This window comes from Homo sapiens, chromosome 19, assembly GCF_000001405.40.
Source record: "Homo sapiens chromosome 19, GRCh38.p14 Primary Assembly".
NCBI classification, from domain to species: Eukaryota; Metazoa; Chordata; class Mammalia; order Primates; family Hominidae; genus Homo; species Homo sapiens.
This window is the reverse complement of record NC_000019.10, coordinates 13,510,824-13,530,616: the sequence shown is the minus strand read 5'-3', so window position 1 is coordinate 13,530,616 and position 19,793 is coordinate 13,510,824. Positions and strand designations below refer to the sequence as shown.

The following is a 19,793-nucleotide window of genomic DNA, read 5'->3' as shown; positions in this document are numbered from 1 at the left end:
CATCGCAACCTTCACCTCCTGGGTTCAAATGATTCTCCTGCCTCAGTCTCTTGAGTAGCTGGGACTACAGGTGCGTGCCACTACACCTAGCTGTAATTTTTGTATTTTTAGTATAGATGGGGTTTCACTATGTTGGCCAGGCTGGTCTCAAACTCCTGACCTCATGATCCACCCGCCTTGGCCTCCCAAAGTGTTGGGATTACAGGCGTGAGCCACCGCGCCTGGCCTCCAGTGGGTCTTTTTCTGTTTTTGCCTTCTCTGTTTCTGGAGCACCAGGTGCTTTCCTGGACACGAGAAGCAATTTCTTTTTTTTTTTTTAACTTTTAATTGTATTATTATTATTTTTTATTTTACCGTAAGTTCCAGGATACATGTGCAGAATGTGCCGGTTTGTTACATAGGTGTACTTGTGCCATGGTGGTTTGCTGCACCCATCAACCCATCATCTAGGTTTTAAGCCCCGCATGCGCTAGGTATTTGTCCTAATGCTCTCCCTCCCCTTCCCCACCACTGCCTGACAGGCCCCAGTGTGTGATGTTGCCTTCCCTGTGTCCATGTGTTCTCATTATTCAGCTCCCATTTATGAGTGAGAACATGTGATGTTTCGTTTTCTATTCCTGTGTTAGTTTGCTGAGAATGATGGCTTCCAGTTTCATCCATGGCCCTGCAAAGGACATGATCTCATTCTTTTTTATGGCTGTATAGTATTCCATGGTGTGTATGTGCCACATTTTATTTATCTAGTCTATCATTGATGGGCATTTGGGTTGGTTCCAAGTCTTTGCTATTGTAAATAGTGCTGCAAAAAACATATGTGTGCATGTGTCTTTATAGTAAAATGATTTATAATCCTTTGGGTATATAGCCAGTAATGGGATTGCTGCGGCAAATGATAGTTCTGGTTCTAGATCCTTGAGGAATCGTCACAGTCTTCCACAATGGTTGAGCTAATTTACACTCCCATCAACGGTGTAAAAGCGTTACTATTTCTCCACAGCCTCGCCAGCATCTATTGTTTCCTGATTTTTTAATAATTGCCATTCTGGCTGGCGTGAGATGGTATCTCACTGTGGTTTTGATTTGCATTGTAAGAGGCAATTTCAACTGCACTCAGTAAAGAGGATTGCCAATGAAGTCAGTGTTTATTTTCCACTACCCTGTGCTTGGCCTGTCACATATAGAGGGAGGGCATTGTTCCATCCTTTCGTGATCCCATGGGGTGTGTCCTGTCCTCATCCTCATTTTGCAGGTGAGGAAACTGAGGCTCAAAGAGGTGAAATGATAGTTCAAACTCACATAAGTAGAACCCAGCATGGATGTTAGCATGGTATTATTATTCTTTGTTGCTGTTGCATTGTTTCTAGATGAGGAAACCATTTCTAAGGGGTCATGGAGCTCAGAAGTGCAGGGCTGGGGTAGCCATCCAGGCAAGCACTCTCCAACAGAAATACAACAAGGGATCAGGGTGCTGTGGCTCATGCCTATAATCCCAGCTCTTTGGGAGGCTGAGACGGGAGGATTGCTTGAGGCCAGGAATTCAAGGCTGCAGTGAGCTATGATCGTGCCACTGTGTTCCAGCCTGAGCAACAGTGAAACCCTGTCTCTAAAGAAAAAAGAAAAAAGAAGCCAAGCACGGTGGCTCATGTCTGTAATCCCAGCACTTTGGTAGGCCAAGGTAGGGGGTGGATCACTTGAGGCCAGGAGTTCAAGACCAGCCTGGCCAACATGGTGAAACACCAACTCTACTAAAAATACAAAACTTAGCCAGGTGTGGTGGCAGGTGCCTGTAACCCCAGCTACTCGGGAGGCTGAGGCAGGAGAATTGCTTGAACCTGGGAGGCAGTGGTTGCAATGAGCCGAGAGCATACTGCCGCACTCCAGCCTGGGTGACAGAGCAAGACTCCATCTCAAACAAACAAACAAAAAGAAGTGCAGGGCTTGGTAGTCATCCGATAAGCACTGTCCAACAGAAATACAACAAGGGGTCAGGGTGCTGTGGTTCATCCCTGTAATCCCAAGTCTTTGGGAGGCTGAGGTGGGAGGATTTCTTGAGGCCAGGAATTCAAAGCTGCAGTGAGCTATGATTGTGCCGTTGTGTTCCAGCCTGGGCAACAAAGTGAGACCCTGTCTCTAAAAAAAAAAAAACAAGAAAGAAAAGAAAACAAAAGAAATACAAGGATCACATATGTAATGTTAAATTTTCAGGTAGCCTCGTTAGAAATGGTAATAAGAAACAGGTGAAGCTAGTTTTAATAATATATTTTTAACCCAATATATTGAAAATGTTACTTCCACATGAGATGAACATATAAACTATTGAGATATTTCAGACTTTTAAAAACATTAAGTCTTCAGGTTGGGCACAGTGGCTCATGTCTGTAATCCTAGCACTTTGGGAGGCCAAGACAGGCAGATTGCTTGAGTTCAGGAGTTCCAGACCAGCCTGGACAACATGACAAAACCCCATCTCTACAAAAAGTTAGCTGGGCATAGTGGTATGCACCTGTAGTCCCAGCTACGAGGGAGGCTGAGGCAGGAGGATCTCCTAAATCCAGGAGGTCAAGGCTGCAGTGTGCCATGATCACGCCACTGCACTCCAGCCTGGGCGACAGAGTGAGAACCTGTCTCAACAAACAAACAAACAGAAACAAAAATCTTCAATATCTGGTGTGTATTTTATGCTTTACTGATCTCAATTCAGATGAGTCACATTTCAAGCACTCAGTGGCCACATGTGGCTTATGGCTAGGTTTTGGATAGTGTGTGTGGGTCTAAATCTTTGACGAGTATTTCTGGTATTTTTTGGTGACACAATAAGGCTCAGGTAGTAAACATATCGGGGGTACCTGATATATGCTTGTTTTGTCATACAAAACCCTTTGCTTTTGGTCTGGATATTTGACCCCTCCAAATCTCATGTTGAAATTTAATTCTCAATGTTGGAGATGGGGTCTAGTGGGAGGTGTTTGGGTTATGGGGGCAGATCACTCATGAAGGGCTTGGTATTTTCCTCTCAGTAATGAGTAAGTTCTTGCTCTATTAATTCCCCCAAGAGCTGGTTGTTCAAAAGACTCTGGCACTTCTCTCTGCTCTCTCTTGCTTCCTCTGTCATCATGTGGTCTCTGTACATGCCAGCTCCCTTTCACCTTCTACCATGATGGAAGCAGCCTGAGGCCCTCACCAGAGGCAGATGCCTGTACCAACTTTCTTGTACAGCCTGCAGGACTGTTGACCAAACAAACCTCTTTTCTTTATAAATTGCCCAGCCTCAGGTATTCCTTTATAGCAACACTAATGGACTAAGACACCTTTCATACTCTTTTTTGATGAAGGAAGGAAGGAGAAAGGAAGGAAGGAAGGAAGGGAGGAAGGAAGGAAGGAAAAAAGGAAGTCCTTCCTAAAAATATTTCCCCCAATATGGAAAAAAAACCTTTGTATGTAACACCATTAAGTATTGCCCCAGCAGAAGCAGCCCCATGTCTTGAGCTGGAAGGAAGGAAGGAAAGAGAGAGAAAGAAAGGAGAATGAGAGGAAGAAACAAGAGGAAGAAATGGAAGGAAGGAAGGAAGGAAGGAAAATGAAAGGAAGGAAGTTCAGTGGAGGATCCAGGAAAACTGCCCTGAATGCCCTGAAGTTCCTTCCTTCTGCCTAAATATTTTGAAGTAGCTAACAGAATCTGTCCAACTCCATTGTCTTAGTTTGAATCCCGCCCCCCAACTCCCAAGAAGCAGATCCAGAAGCAGAGATTTGAATGCTTCTGGAGGAGATCCCAAAACACACTGGCAGAAAAGTAGGAAAGGGAAGACCCAGTGATAAGTGAGTCATCAGGCAAGTTACCACCATGAGCAACTGGGTCTCAATTACCAGTGGGGACCTCTGGGAGGCAGCAGAGAGCACATTCCTCAGCGTTGTTGCATGCTAGTGGTGAGGGAGCTGGGGTATTGATCCATCAACTCCCATCCATCATAAGTTAAAGGATGGGAGTATTAATTCTCTAACACCACAGACTGCTGAGTGGACACTTTGATAGCCAGAGAAAATGCCCTGGGGGCTGGCAGGGGGAAGTCAGACCTGCATGCACTCAAGTGGTCAGGGCATGGCTGGACAGTGTTTGCTGCACCAGTGTAGTACCTACTTCCTTATAATTCAAAAAGTTTACTTTTTGTACCACAAGCCCTTGTGAACTTTATGTCCATTAACTTTGTGACAGTCTGGCTGCCATATGGGACATGAGATGATTTAGTTGTTATTTCAGTGACGGAAAAGGCAGAACAGCTATGGAAGGAGATCACAGATGTATGCATATATTTATGTGTAACCTTGCAAACATGTGCGTGTGCTCCCATTCTTGTTGTCACCAAGCCTAACTCTCTTACCACATTCTCTGTTGTCTTCCCCGGATACATACAAGCTCTTTTTTAGTCGTTGGGCAAAACAGAAGAAAATAAAAGGACCAAGTCTCCATTTTCTGGGGAAATCATGCTATTCTCCTTCTAAGGAGGCATCAGAATCAAATGCCCCCTACCTGTGTCCCCAGCTTCATTCTCTCTCTCTCCCCATTGGAAAATAATTTGTATTGGTTTCTGGCTAATCTTTTGTTTCTTCTTGAGAATATGAGCAAAATGGTTTTTCTTTTTTTCATGTATTTCTGTCTCTTTCTTTCATAAAGATAGCTCAACACCTGCACTTCTCTGCAACTTGCCCTTTTCACTTCTGGAGGTGTTGGGTTTCTATTTTGACCTCTCTTCATGGCTGAGGCTGAGGCAGTGAACAAGACAGACAGGAGCTTTGAGGTCCTATAACTCGAAACATTTTAAGAGCCCCAATGTGCCTTTACAAGAGGAAACATCTTTGAGGCAAGTTTCATAAAATCAACGTATTAACCATGTCTTTTTGCTCGTTTGTTTGTTTTTTGAGATGTAGTCTCACTCTCACCCAGGCTGGAGTGCAGTGGCATGATCTCAGCTCACTGCAAGCTCTGCCTCCCAGGTTCAAGAGATTCTCCTGCCTCAGCCTCCCAAGTAGCTGGGACCACAGGCACCCGCCATCACACCAGGCTAATTTTTGTATTTTTTGTACAGACAGAGTTTCACCATGTTGGCCAGGCTGGTCTCGAACTCCTGACCTTGAGTGATCCACCCACCCCCCTCCACCTCCCAAAGTGCTGGAATTACAGGCATGAGCCACTGTACCCGGTCTTAACCATGTATTTCTGATTCTCTGATATGTGGGGCTTTGCTGACCCTACAAGGATGCCCCCTCCCAGAGCTAGACAATTTCTAGATAGTAAAGAGCCTTTTACATGCAAACCAACCAATCCAGATCTACACCCCCAACCATCTCCTTTCTTGGGCTCTCACATGCTGGGACACTATTCCCCTGCTCTAATGATCTCAGAGCCAGGTACCAAACAACGAGGGGCAACTCCCATGCCCCGAAGCCCTCACCCTGCCTGGCTCATTCCTTCCCATGGAAACCACAATAAAGGCTCTTGCCCACATGTTTTCTTTATTCCCTCGGTCCCTGGCCCAGCCCTGGTGCTTCCCTGTGTGGCCCTGCATAGCATGGGCGTGCCCCTTCTTCTTGGACCTGTGAGTAACAAACTGTCTTTTCAATGGCAGTCATCCCCTGATCTAGTGGCCTTGCCATACCTGAATAATAATAAAACTGGGCTGGGTGCAGCGGCTCATGCCTGTAATCCCAGCAATTTGGGAAGCTGAAGTGGGAAGATTGCTTGAGACCAGGAGTTCAAGACCAGCCCTGGCAACATAACAAGATCCCTATTTCTACAAAAGAAACCCGGAAAAATTAGCCAGGCATGGTGGCACACGCCTGTAGTCCCAGCAATTCAGGAGGCTGAGGTGTGAGGTTTGCTTGAGCCCAGGGGGTTGAGGCTGCAGTGAATCTCCCCCATGATCATGCCATGGCATCCAGCCTGGGCAATAGAGCAAAAACCTGTCTCAAAAAGATAACAATAATAATAAAACCTACATTTTAAAACAATAAAGGCCCAACATGGAATGCCAGCCCCATAATCCCCATCACCTCCCTGCCCTCATGTCCTATTCTCTCCACTCCAGCCACACAAGCCTCCTTAATGTTCTTCAAGCATGCCAGGCATCTTCCATCTAGGCCTCTGCCTATGCTGTTCCCTGTGCCTGCGATGCTCTTCCTTCAGATAGCAGCACGTCTTTTCCTGCCTTCATGTCTCTGCTCAAATATCACCTTCTTAGAGCAGTCTTTTGCAAAATAGCTCCCACTCTGACCCTTACCTGCTTCTTTCTTTCTTTCTTTTTCTTTTTTTCTTTCTTTCTTTCTCTCTTTTCTTTTCTCTTTCTTTCTTTTTCTTTTTTCTTTTTCTTTCTTTCTTCTTTCTTTCTCTCTTCCCTCCCTCCCTCCCTTCCTTTCTTCCTTCCTTCTCTCTCTCCCTTTCCTTCCTTCCTTCCCTCTCTCTCCTTCCTTCCTTTATTCCTTCCTTCTCTCCCTTTCCTTCCTTCCTTCCCCCTCTCTCCTTCCTTCCTTCCTTCCTTCCCTCTCTCTCCTTCCTTCCTTCCTTTCTTCTTTCAACAGGGTCTTGCTCTGTCACCCAGGCTGGAGTGCAATGGTGTGATCTTGGCTCACTACAACCTCCGCCTCCTGGGTTCAAGCAATTCTCATGCCTCAGCCACCCAAGTAGCTGGGATTACAGGCATGCACCACCATCCCCAGCTAATTTTTGTATTTTTAGTGGAGACAGAGTTTCTCCATGTTGGCCAGGCTGATTTCTAACTCCTGGCCTCAAGTGATCCACCAGCCGTGGCCTCCCAAAGTGCTGGGATTACAGGCGTTAACCACCACACCTGGCCTCCATTTTTCTTATAAAAACTATCTTTACCTGACAGATGATAAATCTGCCTGAGTTTATTTGTCTGATTTCTCTGCCCTAAACAGTGAGTTTCCTAAGAACAGGAAATTATTTGCTCTATTAATGGATGTGCCTGGGATAGGATCTGGTATAGAATAAATGCATAATCAACATATGTCAAATGAATGAATGAACAGATGAAGCTGATAATTTTTCTCAAGCTTTCTAGGTGAAATAGTGCACTTGATCCTATCGTTGGTAACTTTATCTCCAGGTGTGGTAAAACTTGTTATTTTGCAACCTGGGGACACCTTGCTCGGTTCTTACTCAAGAAAAACCAGCCGGGCGCGGTGGCTCATGCCTGTAATCCCAGTACTTTGGGAGGCTGAGGCGGGAGGATCACAAGGTCAGGAGTTCAAGACCAGCCTGAGCAACATGGTGAAACCCTGTTTCTACTAAAAACACAGAAACTAGCCGGGCGTGGTGGTGGGCGCCTGTAATCCCAGCTATTCAGGAGGCTGAGGCAGGAGAATTGCTTGAACCCAGGAGGTGGAGGTTGCAGTGAGCCGAGACCGTGCCGTTGCACTCCTGCCTGGGCGACAGAGTGAGACTCTGTCTCAAAAAAAAAAAAGAAAAAAGAAAAACTAAGATCTGCATTTCCATAAGCAGGTGTAGCTCATTTGATTAAATTTCCCTTGCTAACTTCTTAGGATACACATGAATATATAACTAAGCATTTAATCAAGCTCCTGACTTACCAGAGGGGTTAGATGCTGAATATAATTTGTAATTGCCTAAGAATATAGTAAGCTTGAGTACTTTTGTTTCCATAATTAAGTGTGAGGCCCTTGTCTCAATGTGAATTAAGAATACTTCAAGCACTTTATATGAAAAGTAAATTTATTTTCTTTTGGAAAAGTTCAAACACATATGAAAGAAGAGAAAATAGAATGATATCCCACCCAATTCCTATAACCCATCTTCAATAATTATCAACTCATAACACATCTTGTATTTCTCTAGCCCAAACTTAAACATAACCTTAATTTGCAAATTGAAGCAAACCTTTAATTTGCTCTAACATAACCCTGGGTTGTGTTTAACCCTGTTAAAGGAAATCTCAGACATCGTATGATTTCATCTGCAAATATTTTAATATGTACTTCTCAAAGCTAAGGACTCTGCAGCCGCTGCAGAAAATGGTATGGTGATTCCTCAAAAACTCAAATATAAAGTTAATGTATAATCCAGCAATTTTACTTCTGGGTGTAAACCTCAAAGAAATGAAAGCAGGGGCTCAAACAGATGTTCCTTTGTACATCCATTTCATAGCAGCGGTATTCACAATAACCAAAAGGTGGAAGCAACACAAGTGTGTGTCAACAGGTGAATGGATAAGCATTGTGTTGTATATCCATATGAAGGAATATTATTCAGCCTTAAAAAAGGAATGAAATTATGACACATGCTACGACATGAATGAACCTTGAGGACATAATGCTAAGTGAAATCAGCCAGTCACAGGAAGACAAATACTGTATGATTCTGTTTATATGGGGTCCCTAGAGTGGTTAAATTCATAGGGACAGAAAGTAGAAGAGTGGTTGCCAGGGGCTGGGGGAGAGGGAATGGGAAGTTAGTGTTTAATGGGGACAGAGTTTCAGTTTGGGAAGATGAAAAAATTCTGGACACGAATCATGGTGACGGTTACACATCTATGTGAATGTACTTAATGCCACTGAAACGTACACCTTAAAAATGGTTAAAATGATCAAGTTTTTATTATGCATATATATTTTTTGAGACAGAGTTTCGCTTTGATTGCCCAGGCTGGAGTGCAATGGAGCAACCTCGGCTCACTGCAACCTCCACCTCCCTGGTTCAAGTGATTCTTCTGCCTCAGCCTCCCCAGTAGCTGGGCTTACAGGTGCCCGCCACCACTCCCAGCTAAGTTTTTGTATTTTTAGTAGAAACGGGATTTCACCATGTTGGCCAGGCTGGTCTCGAACTCCTGATTTCAGGTGATCTACCCACCTTGGCCTCCCAAAGTCCTGGGATTACAGGCATGAGCCACTGTACCCGGCTATGATGCATATTTTTCCACAATAAAAGAAAAAGCTAAAGAGTCACTTATGTTGCATGTTGTCCTCACTCTGGAGCTAGTCTTAAGGAGCGTTTGCCACCTGGAGCTTTGCCAGTTCCTATGCAGAAGAAAAAAGTGGTGTAGAGCACTGCCGTGGACCACTTTCAAAAGTTCAATAGAACTTTCCAAAAATGTTCCCTATCTCCAATGTTTAATAAAGTAGCTACTAGATACATGTAGCTTTTGAGGACTAGAAATATGGCTTGTACCACTGAACAACAGGATTTTAAATGTTGTTTAATTTTGATAGCCACATGTGGCTACTGCCTTGGACACTGCAACATTAGAGAGATTTGTATTGGTTATTAAATGCTTCAACCTGGGAGTGACATGTTTCATTTCCACTGAGAACTCATTGGTCAGAATTAGTCACATGACCCCAGCAGACCACAAGGGGGCCAGGAAATGCCAGCTTACATCTTACACATGCCTGTATATGGAGAACTGGAAATATTTGGTGAACAGCTCTAATGCCTGTCTCAGAGAATAAATCTTTTTGAGATCCAGAAAGGAGAAAAATTGGCTATTTTATTTCAGGAAGAGAAGATAAGAAATATGGAGACTTAATGTATTATCTATTGCTGTGTAACAATTTACCAAAGCCTTGGCAGCTTTAAGCAACATTTATTTCACAGTTTATGTGAGTCAGGAACCAGGGTGCAGCAGTTTCAGGGTCTCTCTTGAGGCTGCAATCAAGGTATCAACTGGGGCTTCGTTCTCATCTTAAGGCTTGACTGGGGGAAGATGTGATTTCAAGCTTAAACTTGTGGCTGTTGGCAGAATACTATGGAAAAGGAACACTCAGAGAACAATTATAGCAATACCAAAAGCCTCTTGAAATTAAAAAATATAAAAGCATAAATAAAAAACTGAACAAAAGGTGGAAAGATAAAATTAGAGAAATCTCTCAAAAAGAAGATTAAGACACAATGGAAATACAAAATAGAAGGAAAGGAACAGATAAGAGAATCAGTCCAGAAAGTCCAACATCTAAATAATAAGTTTAAAAGAGAATCATGAAAAAAGGGTGAGAATCTTAGCTGGGTGTGGTGGCACACTCCTATAGTCCTCAGGAGCCTGCGGTAGGAGGACTGTTTTGAGCCCAAGAGTTCGAGGCTGTAATAAGCTATGATCACACCACTGCACTCCAGCCTATGTGACAAAGTAAGACCTTGTCTCTAAAAAAAGGGGGTAACAATCATCATACTAAGTGCCCAGTACAATGACTGAAAATAGACCTAAACTAACTTACATCATAATAAAATTTTAGAACACAATGGAAAAAGATTCTAAAAGCTACTAGAGAAAAAAAATGAGGTCATATACAAGAAATCAGGAGTAAGAATGCTTCAAACTTCCCAACAGCAATACTGGAATTGAGAATACGTTGGAGCAATACTTCACATTTTTGAAGTAAAATGATCTCCAAACCAGAATTCTATACCCAGCCAAACTACCAATGAGGTATAAAGCTAAAACAATAGCATTTCATACATAGAAGTCTCCAATATTTACTTCCTGAGACAGATTAGACTGTTCAAAAATGGCTGCACAATGGCTCCCATTTTACACTTGCTTAGAATTTTATCACTTCCCCATAAAGGATTGGAATCTATATTCTCTCCCTTTGAACCTGGGTGAACCTTTGTGACTGATTCAACTAATAGAGTAGGGAAGGAGTGATGCTTTGTGACTTCCAAGGTTAGCTCATAAAAGGAGATGCAGCTTCTGCCTGGCTCTCTCCCTTGAGACATGTGCCTTTGGAGTCCTGAACTGGCATAAGAGAAGTTCAGCTATCCTGAAGTTGCCATACTGGAGATGCCATGTGGAGATACCACATAGAAATGGAGATAGATGCTTGAGAAACCTCAGTTGTTTGAGTCTTTCCAGCCTAAGTTCCAGCCCTGTGACTGAGGAAGCCTTTGAGATGACCCTAGTCCCTCTCGCCATCTGACTGTATTTGCATGAAAGACCCCAAGTGAAAACCACTCAGATGATCCCAGTTGACCACCCAAATCACAAAATGTGATAATAAAAATGAATGTTGCTGTTTTATGCTACTAAGTTTGGGCTGGTTTTTATGCAGCAATAGGTAACTGGAAAACCTCTCATGCATCCTTTCTTAGGAAGCTACCAGAGGATGTGCTTCACCCAAACAAGGGAGTAAACCAAGAAGAGGGAAACAGAGAACACTGGACTTAAGAAATCCAACAATGAGAAGCAAAGGGAATCTCCTGGATGATGATAAAGAGAGAGCCCAGGATGAAAGCTGTATGCCAGGGAAAGTCCTGATTAGACCATGTGACAAGTCTTCAGGAAAGACTGCTTCTGGATGATAAAATGAACTGAATACCTGTTAAGAGACTTGGGGGGTCAAATTTGCAATAAGTACCAAACAAAGAAGATTAAAAAATGATAAGTCCCAAGGGAAACAATATGTTGTAAAGAAAAAGTAGCTATAGTTTGTTCATGACATAACTGTAACTTGCCTTGTACATGATAATATAAACACCGAATCTTCCTCACTTTGTGAAAGAACAATATTGGGCAAATGCGCAGGTTTTGGAAAGTTCCATGTGTAGGGGGATGGAGGGAGAAATTAGCAAAATCCTCCTTTTCTATAGCTAATACCTATAAAGTGCTACAACACCCAGACAGGATACTTCTTTGTTGCTTTCATTATAATATCCTTGGGTATTGCTGTTGGCTATTTCTTAATACTACTTAAATATTCACAAGTGTACGACTTGTTTTCCCAACCTAACTATAAGCTCTTTGATAGTTAATGCTTCTCTATATTATCTGTAGTGGCTGGCATAGTATGCTACGCATAGTATGTGGTCAGTTTGAGAAATATTAGTTGAATAAAATAATAGTGTTGGAACAAATAAATAATGACTAAAACTGAAAAATTTAAAAGTAGAAAGAAGTAAGTGAATGAACGATGTGGGGCTTGGTGTGGTGGCTCATACTTGTAATCCCAGTGCTTTGGGAGGCTGAGGCAGGAGGATTGCTTGAGACTAGGAGTTCGAGACCAGCCTGGGCAACACAACAAGACACTACCTCTACAAAAACAAATAATAAAATTAGCCAGGTGTGGAGGTGTGCATCAGTAGTCCTAGCTACTCAGGAAGATGAGGTGGGAGGATTACTTGAGCCCAGGAGTTTGAGGCTGCAGTGAGCTGACATTGCACCACTGCACCCCAGCCTGGGTAACAGAGTGAGACCTCCATCTCTGAAACAAACAAACAAAAACCCAATATAAATAATATGGTAGTAAATAGCAAAATAATCAGCTAAAGGGAACCAGGCACAGAAACACAAATATCGCATGCTGTCATTCATATGTGGGAGCTTAAAAAAAAAAAAAAAAAAAAGAAGTCATGGAGGTAGAGAGTAGAGTGATAGTTACCAAAAGCTGGGAAGGGTAGTGGGGAGGGTGGAATAAAGAGGAAATGATTAATGGGTACAAAAATAGAGTTAGATAGGAGGAATAAAATCTAGTGCCTGGCAGCACAATAGGGTGACTATAGGTAACAATAATTTATGTTCCCATCACAAAGAAATGGTAAATCCTTTCTTAAAAAATACTTTTAAGTTCAGGGGGTATATGTGTAAGATTGTTATATAGGTTACCTTGTGTCCTGGAGTTTGTTGTACAGATTATTATTATTAGTTTTCGCGGCAGAGTCTCACTCTGTTGCCCAGGCTGGAGTGCAGTGGCACCGTGTCGGCTCACTGCAAACTCCGCCTCCCGGGTTCAAGCGATTCTCCTGCCTTGGCCTCCTGAGTAGCTGGGATTTCAGGCACCTGTCACCACTCCCAGCTAGTTTTTGTGTTTTTAGTAGAGATGGGGTTTCACCATGTTGGCCAGGCTGGTCTCGAACTCCTGACCTCAGGTGATCCGCCCTTCTTGGCCTCCCAAAGTGCTGTGATTACAGGTGTAACAGATTACGCCTGTAATCTGGGTACTAGGTCTTAAGCCTAGTACCCATTAGTTATATTTTTAATCCTCTCCCTCCTCCCACACTAAACCCTCCAATTAGGCCCCAGTGTGTGTTGTTCCCCTCTATGTGTCCATGTGTTCTCATCATTTAGCTCCGACTTATAAGTGAGAACATGCGGTATTTGGTTTTCTGTTCCCGCATTAGTTTGCTAAGGATCATGGCCTCCAGCTCCATTCATGTCCCTGCAAAACACACGATCTTGTTCTTTTATGGTTGCATAGTATTCCAGGATATTTATGTACCATGTTTTCTTTATTCAGTCTACCGTTGATGGGCATTTAGGTTGATTCCATGTCTTTGCTATCGTGAATAGCGCTGCAATGAATACGCGTGCATGTGTCTTTGTAATAGAACAATTTATATTCCTTTGGGTATATACCCAGTAATGGGATTGCTGAGTGTAATGGTATTTTTGTTTTTAGGTCTTTGAGGAATCACCACACTGTCTTCCACAATGGTTGAACTAATTTACACTCCCAACAACAGTGTATAAGCATTCCTTTTTCTCCACAAGCTCATCAGCATCTGTTATTTTTTGACTTTTTAATAATAGCCAAGAAATGGTAAATGCTTGAGGTGGTGGATATCCCAGTCACCCTAATTTGATCATTACACGTTGTATGCTTGTATCAAAATGTCACATATACCCCATAGATAGGCACAACTATTATATATCCATAATGATTTTTAAAATCAGCCAAAAGGTGGCCAGGTTCAGGGGCTCATGCCTGTAACCCCAGCACTTTGGGAGGCTGAGGAAGGCAGATCACTTGAGGTCAGGAATTTGAGACCAGCCTGGCCAACATGGCAAAACCCCGTCTCCACCAAAAATACAAAAAACTAGCCGGGTGTGGTGGTGGGTGCCTATAAGCCTAGCTACTTGGGAGCCTGAGGCAGGAGAATCACTTGAACCTGGGAGGCGGAGGTTGCAGTGAGCCAAGATTGTGCCACTGCGCTGCAGCCTGGGTGACAGAGCAAGACTCCTTCTCAAAAAAGAAAAAAAAATCAGCGAAAAGTGTTGATAGTGAGTATCTTTCAGGAGGGGGATATGAAACATGGAGGGAGGCAGGGGGCTGCTATTTTGCATAACAAAACCTGTTTCAGAGACGCATTTGACTCTAATTCCCAATGGCAGCACCCTCTATTCCCTTTCCTGCTTTGTTTCTCTCCTTAGCACTTAGCCTCATCTGACATACTATGTATTTTCCTTATTATTTACTCTATTTATTCCTCATCTCCATTCAACTCCACGACAACGGGAAATTCTGTCTGCCTTGTTCTGTGCTGGCAAAATTACTGGGCACATGGCAGATGTTCCATACAGTCAGGAGAATGAATGAACCTTGTGCCTCTGCAATTTTTGTAGCCACTCATTTATTTTAACTTTTTATTTTGTTGAAATTTCAGATTTACCAAAAAGTTGTAAGACTGGTACAAAGAAGTCGCCTATATCACTTATCCAGGTTTCTCAAATGTTAACATTTTACCACTTACACTTTACTTTATCCTCTCTCTCTCTCTTTCTCTCCTTACCCCAACCGTTGACCACTGAGAGTAATTTGTAGATATCATGGCCCTTTAACCCTATATAATTCAGTGTGTTTCCCAAAACAGGGCATTCTCTTACATAAGCACAGCACAATGATCAAAATTAGGAAATTAGCATATGAACACTGTTATTATGTAATCTACAGATCTTATTCAGATGTCACCAATTGTTCCAATAGCGTCCTTTGTAGCAAAAGGAGGTCCTGGCTCACTTGTTGAATTTGGTCAGTCACATTTCCTTTACTCTGGACCAGTTGTTCTGTCTTTATCTGGGCTTCACGACATTAACACTTCCAAAGAATACTTATTGTATAAAGTGCCCCTTAATCTGAACATGGTTGTTTACCAATTATTCAAATCATGCATTTTTGGCAGAAGTTCCTAGAAGCGATGTTGCAGCCTTCTTGGTATGTCATTCTAGGAGGCACGTGATTTGCCCGTCACTTGCTTATCTGCCAGGGTGCTCCACTATCAGGTTACTGTTTTGACCATTAAAATTAACAGTTGTCTTTGGGAAGATACTCTGACACTATGTAAATGATCTGTTATCCCTCAAACTTTCATTATCCCCTGATAGTTCTTGTATGTTTTTATGGTAGTTGCCAAATTGCCTACATATATAACTTTTTTTTTTTCTTCAGAAATACGGTCTTATTCTGTCACTGAGGCTGGAGTACAGTGGCAAGATCATAGCTCACTACAGCCTTGAACTCCTGGGCTCAAGAAATCCTCCTATCTCAGACTCCAGAGTAGCTGGGACTACAGGCGAGTGCCACCATGCCCCGCTAATTTTTGTTATTTTTTGTAGAGATGGGATTTTACTATGTTGCTCAGGCTGGTCTCGAACTCCTCAGCTCAAGTGATCTGCCTGCTTCAGCCTCCCAAAGTTCTGGAATTATAGGCATGAGCTACTGTGCCCGGCCTCCTTATGAAAGAATTCTAAAGAATACGGATAGATACTTCCCAGTCCAGAAGGGGATATTTATCCCTCTTCCTCCACTTCATGTGGGTAGGCCTTAGTGACTGTTCAGAAGGTAGAGTAGGTATTGGGAAAAACAGTAGCTTGATGGTGGAGAAACTTGGCAGACACCACCTTAACCAAGGGATCGAGGTTAACATCACTAATGGTAAGTCATGTAACTATCTTACACCCTGATCTGATGCAAAGAGAACGGCACTGCACCTCTGTGCAATGGTCTTCTCTCAAATCCATTATTCCAGTTTAATCATGAAAACAGACAAACCCAAGGTGAGGGACGTTCTACAAAGTACTTGATCAGTACTCCTAGACATTATTAAGGTTGTGAGAAACGAAGAAACAGATCAGAGGAGACTAAGGAGACAAAATGAGGCTGGGCACAGTGGCTCCCACCTGTAATCCCAACACTTTGGGAGGCCAAGGTGGGAGGATTGCTTGAGCCCAGGAGTTTGAGACCAGCCTGGACAACAGAGTGAGACCCTGTCTCTACAAAAAATTAAAAATTAGTTTGGGGCTGGGCGCGGTGGCTCACGCCTGTAATCCCAGCACTTTGGGAGGCCGAGGCGGGAGGATCACGAGGTCAGGAGATCAAGACCATCCTGGCTAACACGGTGAAACCCCGTCTCTACTAAAAATACAAAAAAAAATTAGCCCGGCGAGGTGGCGGGCGCCTGTAATCCCAGCTACGCGGGAGGCTGAGGCAGGAGAATGGCATAAACCCTGGGGGGCGGAGCCTGCAGTGAGCCGAGATCGCGCCACTGCACTCCAGCCTGGGAGACAGCAAGACTCCGTCTCAAAAAAAGAAAAAAAAAAAGAAAAAAAAATTAGTTTGGTATGGTGTTTTGTGCCTGTGGTCTCAGCTACTAGGGATGAAGACAAGGCTTCTTACCCTACAGGTTGCTGTAGGGATGAATTAAGATCAAGCAGAGGCCAGGTGTGATGGTTCATGACCATAATCCCGGCACTTTGGGAGGCCGAGGTGGGTGCATCGCTTGAGCCCAGAAGTTAGAGACCAGCCTGGGCAATATGGTGATACCCCATACCTACTAAAAATACAAAAATTATCGGAGCATGGTAGCACATGCCTGTAGTCTCAGCTACTCAGCTACTCAGGAGGCTGCAGTGGGAGGATCGCTTGAACCCAGGAAGTCGAGGCTGCAGTGAGCCGTGATTGTGCCACTGCACTCCAGCCTGTACAACAGAGTGAGAGCCTGTCTCAAAGAAAAAAAAAAGTCAATATTAGAGGAAGCTGGGTGAAGGGCATAATGATAACTCTCTTGTACTACGTTTTCAAACTTTCTGTAAATCTAAAATTATGCCAAAATAAAATGTTTATTTAAGAAGTTAAAAATAAGGTAATATTTAATCAATCTTAGTCAGTGATATTCACAAATTTCAGGTCTGGAAGATTGACTATGGTGAATTTTTTTTTTTTTTTGAGACGGAGTCTCGCTCTGTCGCCCAGGCTGGAGTGCAGTGGCATGATCTTGGCTCGCTGCAAGCTCCATCTCCCGGGTTCATGCCATTCTCCTGCCTCAGCCTCCCGAGTAGCTGGGACTACAGGCGCCCACCACCTCGCCCGGCTAATTTTTTGTATTTTTAGTAGAGACAGGGTTTCACTGTGTTAGCCAGGATGGTCTCGATCTCCTGACCTCGTGATCTGCCCACGTCGGCCTCCCTAAGAGCTGGGATTACAGGCATGAGCCACCGCACCCGGCCGACTATGGTGATTTTTTAAAAATCTACTTACCATGAATTCTTATATAATATGTATGCTAGTCATTATGCTGAGGGCTTATCTGCTTGATTTTTGTTTGTTTGTTTGTCTGTTTTCTTTTTGAGACAGGGTCTCACCCCATCACCTAGGCTAGAATGCAGTGACATGATCACAGCTCACTGCAGCCTCAACCTTCCAGGTTCAGGTGATCCTCCCACCTCAGCCTCCTGAGTAGCTGAGTAGCTGGGACTACAGGCGTGTGCTACCATGCCGGGATAATTTTTGTATTTTTAGTAGATATGGGGTTTCACCATGTCGCCCAGGCTGGTCTCGAACTCCTAGGCTCAAGTGATGCACCCACCTCAGCCTCCCAAAGTGCTGGGATTATGGTCATGAGCCATCACACCTGGCCTCTGCTTGATCTTAATTCATCCTTATAGCAACCTGTAGGGTAAGGAGTCTTGTCTTCATTTTATTGAGGAAGCTGAAGTTGAGAGAGGGGAAGCACCTTTCCAAATGCACACTACTAGGAATTTCGAGAGCTAGGATTTGAAACCAGGTCTGTGTCCAGAATTAGGCTTTGCCTCATTCGTTTTTGGAAGCTTGCAGAGCACATGCTGCTATGCAATGTAATGCCCAAAGTCGCAGCCACATTCCGTCTCTGAATTCACTCTTGGGTGCCTACATCATGACCCGTAGATGTCTGGATGATCAAATTTGGCTTTGTCATTTTTATCCTCCACCTCCCAAAGATCTTGATACTCATTCCCCATGGGTATCCAGACCAGAAGGCAGAGACCAAATGTCTTTTGGCCGATCCATTTTTGCAACTCAACATGACTAGATTTGCTGATAATTGTTTTAGCAGTCAAATGAATGCGATTTGCAGTTATTTATTTGGGGCATTTATTTCAAAGATGCTAGCCCCGTTCAATTGAATAACATTCTTAAAGCCAGTATAGTAATGCTGCTGCTGATTGATAAATTAAACCTCCAGCTGGCAGATGTGTTAAAGATTAGAACCAATGGTTGGGGCTGGTTTCTGGCTGCCTGCTGTTAAACTGCTTCTGTCTGCAACGCTAATAACATTCTAAATCTTTCTACCTGGTCAACATTAGTAATTTGTATTAGTGGGGGTCCAGGAACTACCTACTACAGTCATTTGAGGAGGCTGCAATGACTTCTTGCCCATCCATTCCCATTTGCTAGGTGATAGGTAAGATTCTGGTGTTAGAGATTCATTCCTTTGGCTACAGAAATGTTATGTCTGCAAAGTGAATCTATAAGATAATGCACATGGAGCCCTGCCACACTTTATAGTAAATGAGTTAAGTTCTTTCTGGAAAAGAGGTATTGAGCAATTGGGGGTTGAAGGACTTGAGAAGATTCCTAGGAAGGAGAGGAGAACCCCAGCACACCAAACTTCGTAGTCAGGCAAACTTTGGAAATGCCATTTGGTGAGAGGAAAGTGTAGACTCTTCTGTCACCTTGATGGCAGGTGAGAGGAGGTGTTTGCAAATGTATGTGGGTATGTCTGGTTATCACATGACTAGGGATGCTACTGACATTTAGTGGGCATTTGCCAAGAAGGCTAAACAATCCGCAATGCACAGGACAGCCCTGAAGAGCAACAAGTGTTGCACCGAAAATGCCAACAGCACCTCCTTTGATAACACTAGAGAATGCCAAGAAAGAGATGGTGAGTTTGCCCCCTTCCAGAGCTGTGGTTGCCAAAACTGGCTATACCCCAGGGACATGCTGAATAAATAAAAGAGAGTGTGGGATGGCTCAGGAATCTGAATGTTCACAACACTTTGCCGGCAGTTCTGTACACAGCCAGCTTCTCTGCTGCCTAGGCACGGTTTGGGGCATCCTGGAGGACTGTTCTTTGTCCTCCAGTAAAGATGTCTGATTTTGTTGTATAGGGGCTTCATGGTCAAAGTGTGCAAAGAGAACAATCACAAATCATCATGACAAGTGGTGCTGCTTGGGCTGTACTTCAGGAGCATCACGAATTTTTTTTTTTTTTTTTGAGACAGAGTCTCACTCTGTCACCCAGGTTGGAGTGCAGTGGCATGATCTCAGCTCACTGCAACCTCCGCCTCCTGGATTCAAGTGATTCTCTTGCCTCAGCCTCCCGAGTAGCTGGGATTACAGGCATGCACCAGCATGCCCGGCTAATTTTTGCATTTTAAGTAGAGACAGGGTTTTACCATGTTGGCCAGGCTGGTCTCGAACTCCTGGCCTCAGGTGATCTGCCCACCTTGGCCTCCCAAAGTGCTGGGATTATAGTCTTGAGCCACCATGCCCAGCCTACAAATATTTTTTATTTAAGTAGGCAGCACACACAAAACTGCACAAATCAGTCACGTGCAGCTCAGTGAAAAGGTACAAAATGAACAAAACTTAAAAAGTGAGCACACCCATGCCACTGTCACCCAGATGGAGATGCTTCCAGAATGTATCCCTTTACCCTCAAAGCGACTACTCCTTTGACTTCTAAAGGTGATCAGTGTTGCTCATTTTTTAATGTTATTATTTACTTATTTAATTTT

At 43.6% G+C, this 19,793-nt stretch overlaps 1 long non-coding RNA gene across 1 annotated transcript; it reads left to right on the top strand.

Moving 5' to 3' along the window:
- Positions 1-10,025: 10,025 nt before the first annotated feature.
- LOC107985287 (uncharacterized) lies at positions 10,026-11,879 on the top strand. Its single transcript, XR_001753872.2, has 2 exons — positions 10,026-10,451; positions 11,114-11,879. It is a non-coding gene; the product is annotated as an uncharacterized LOC107985287 (long non-coding RNA).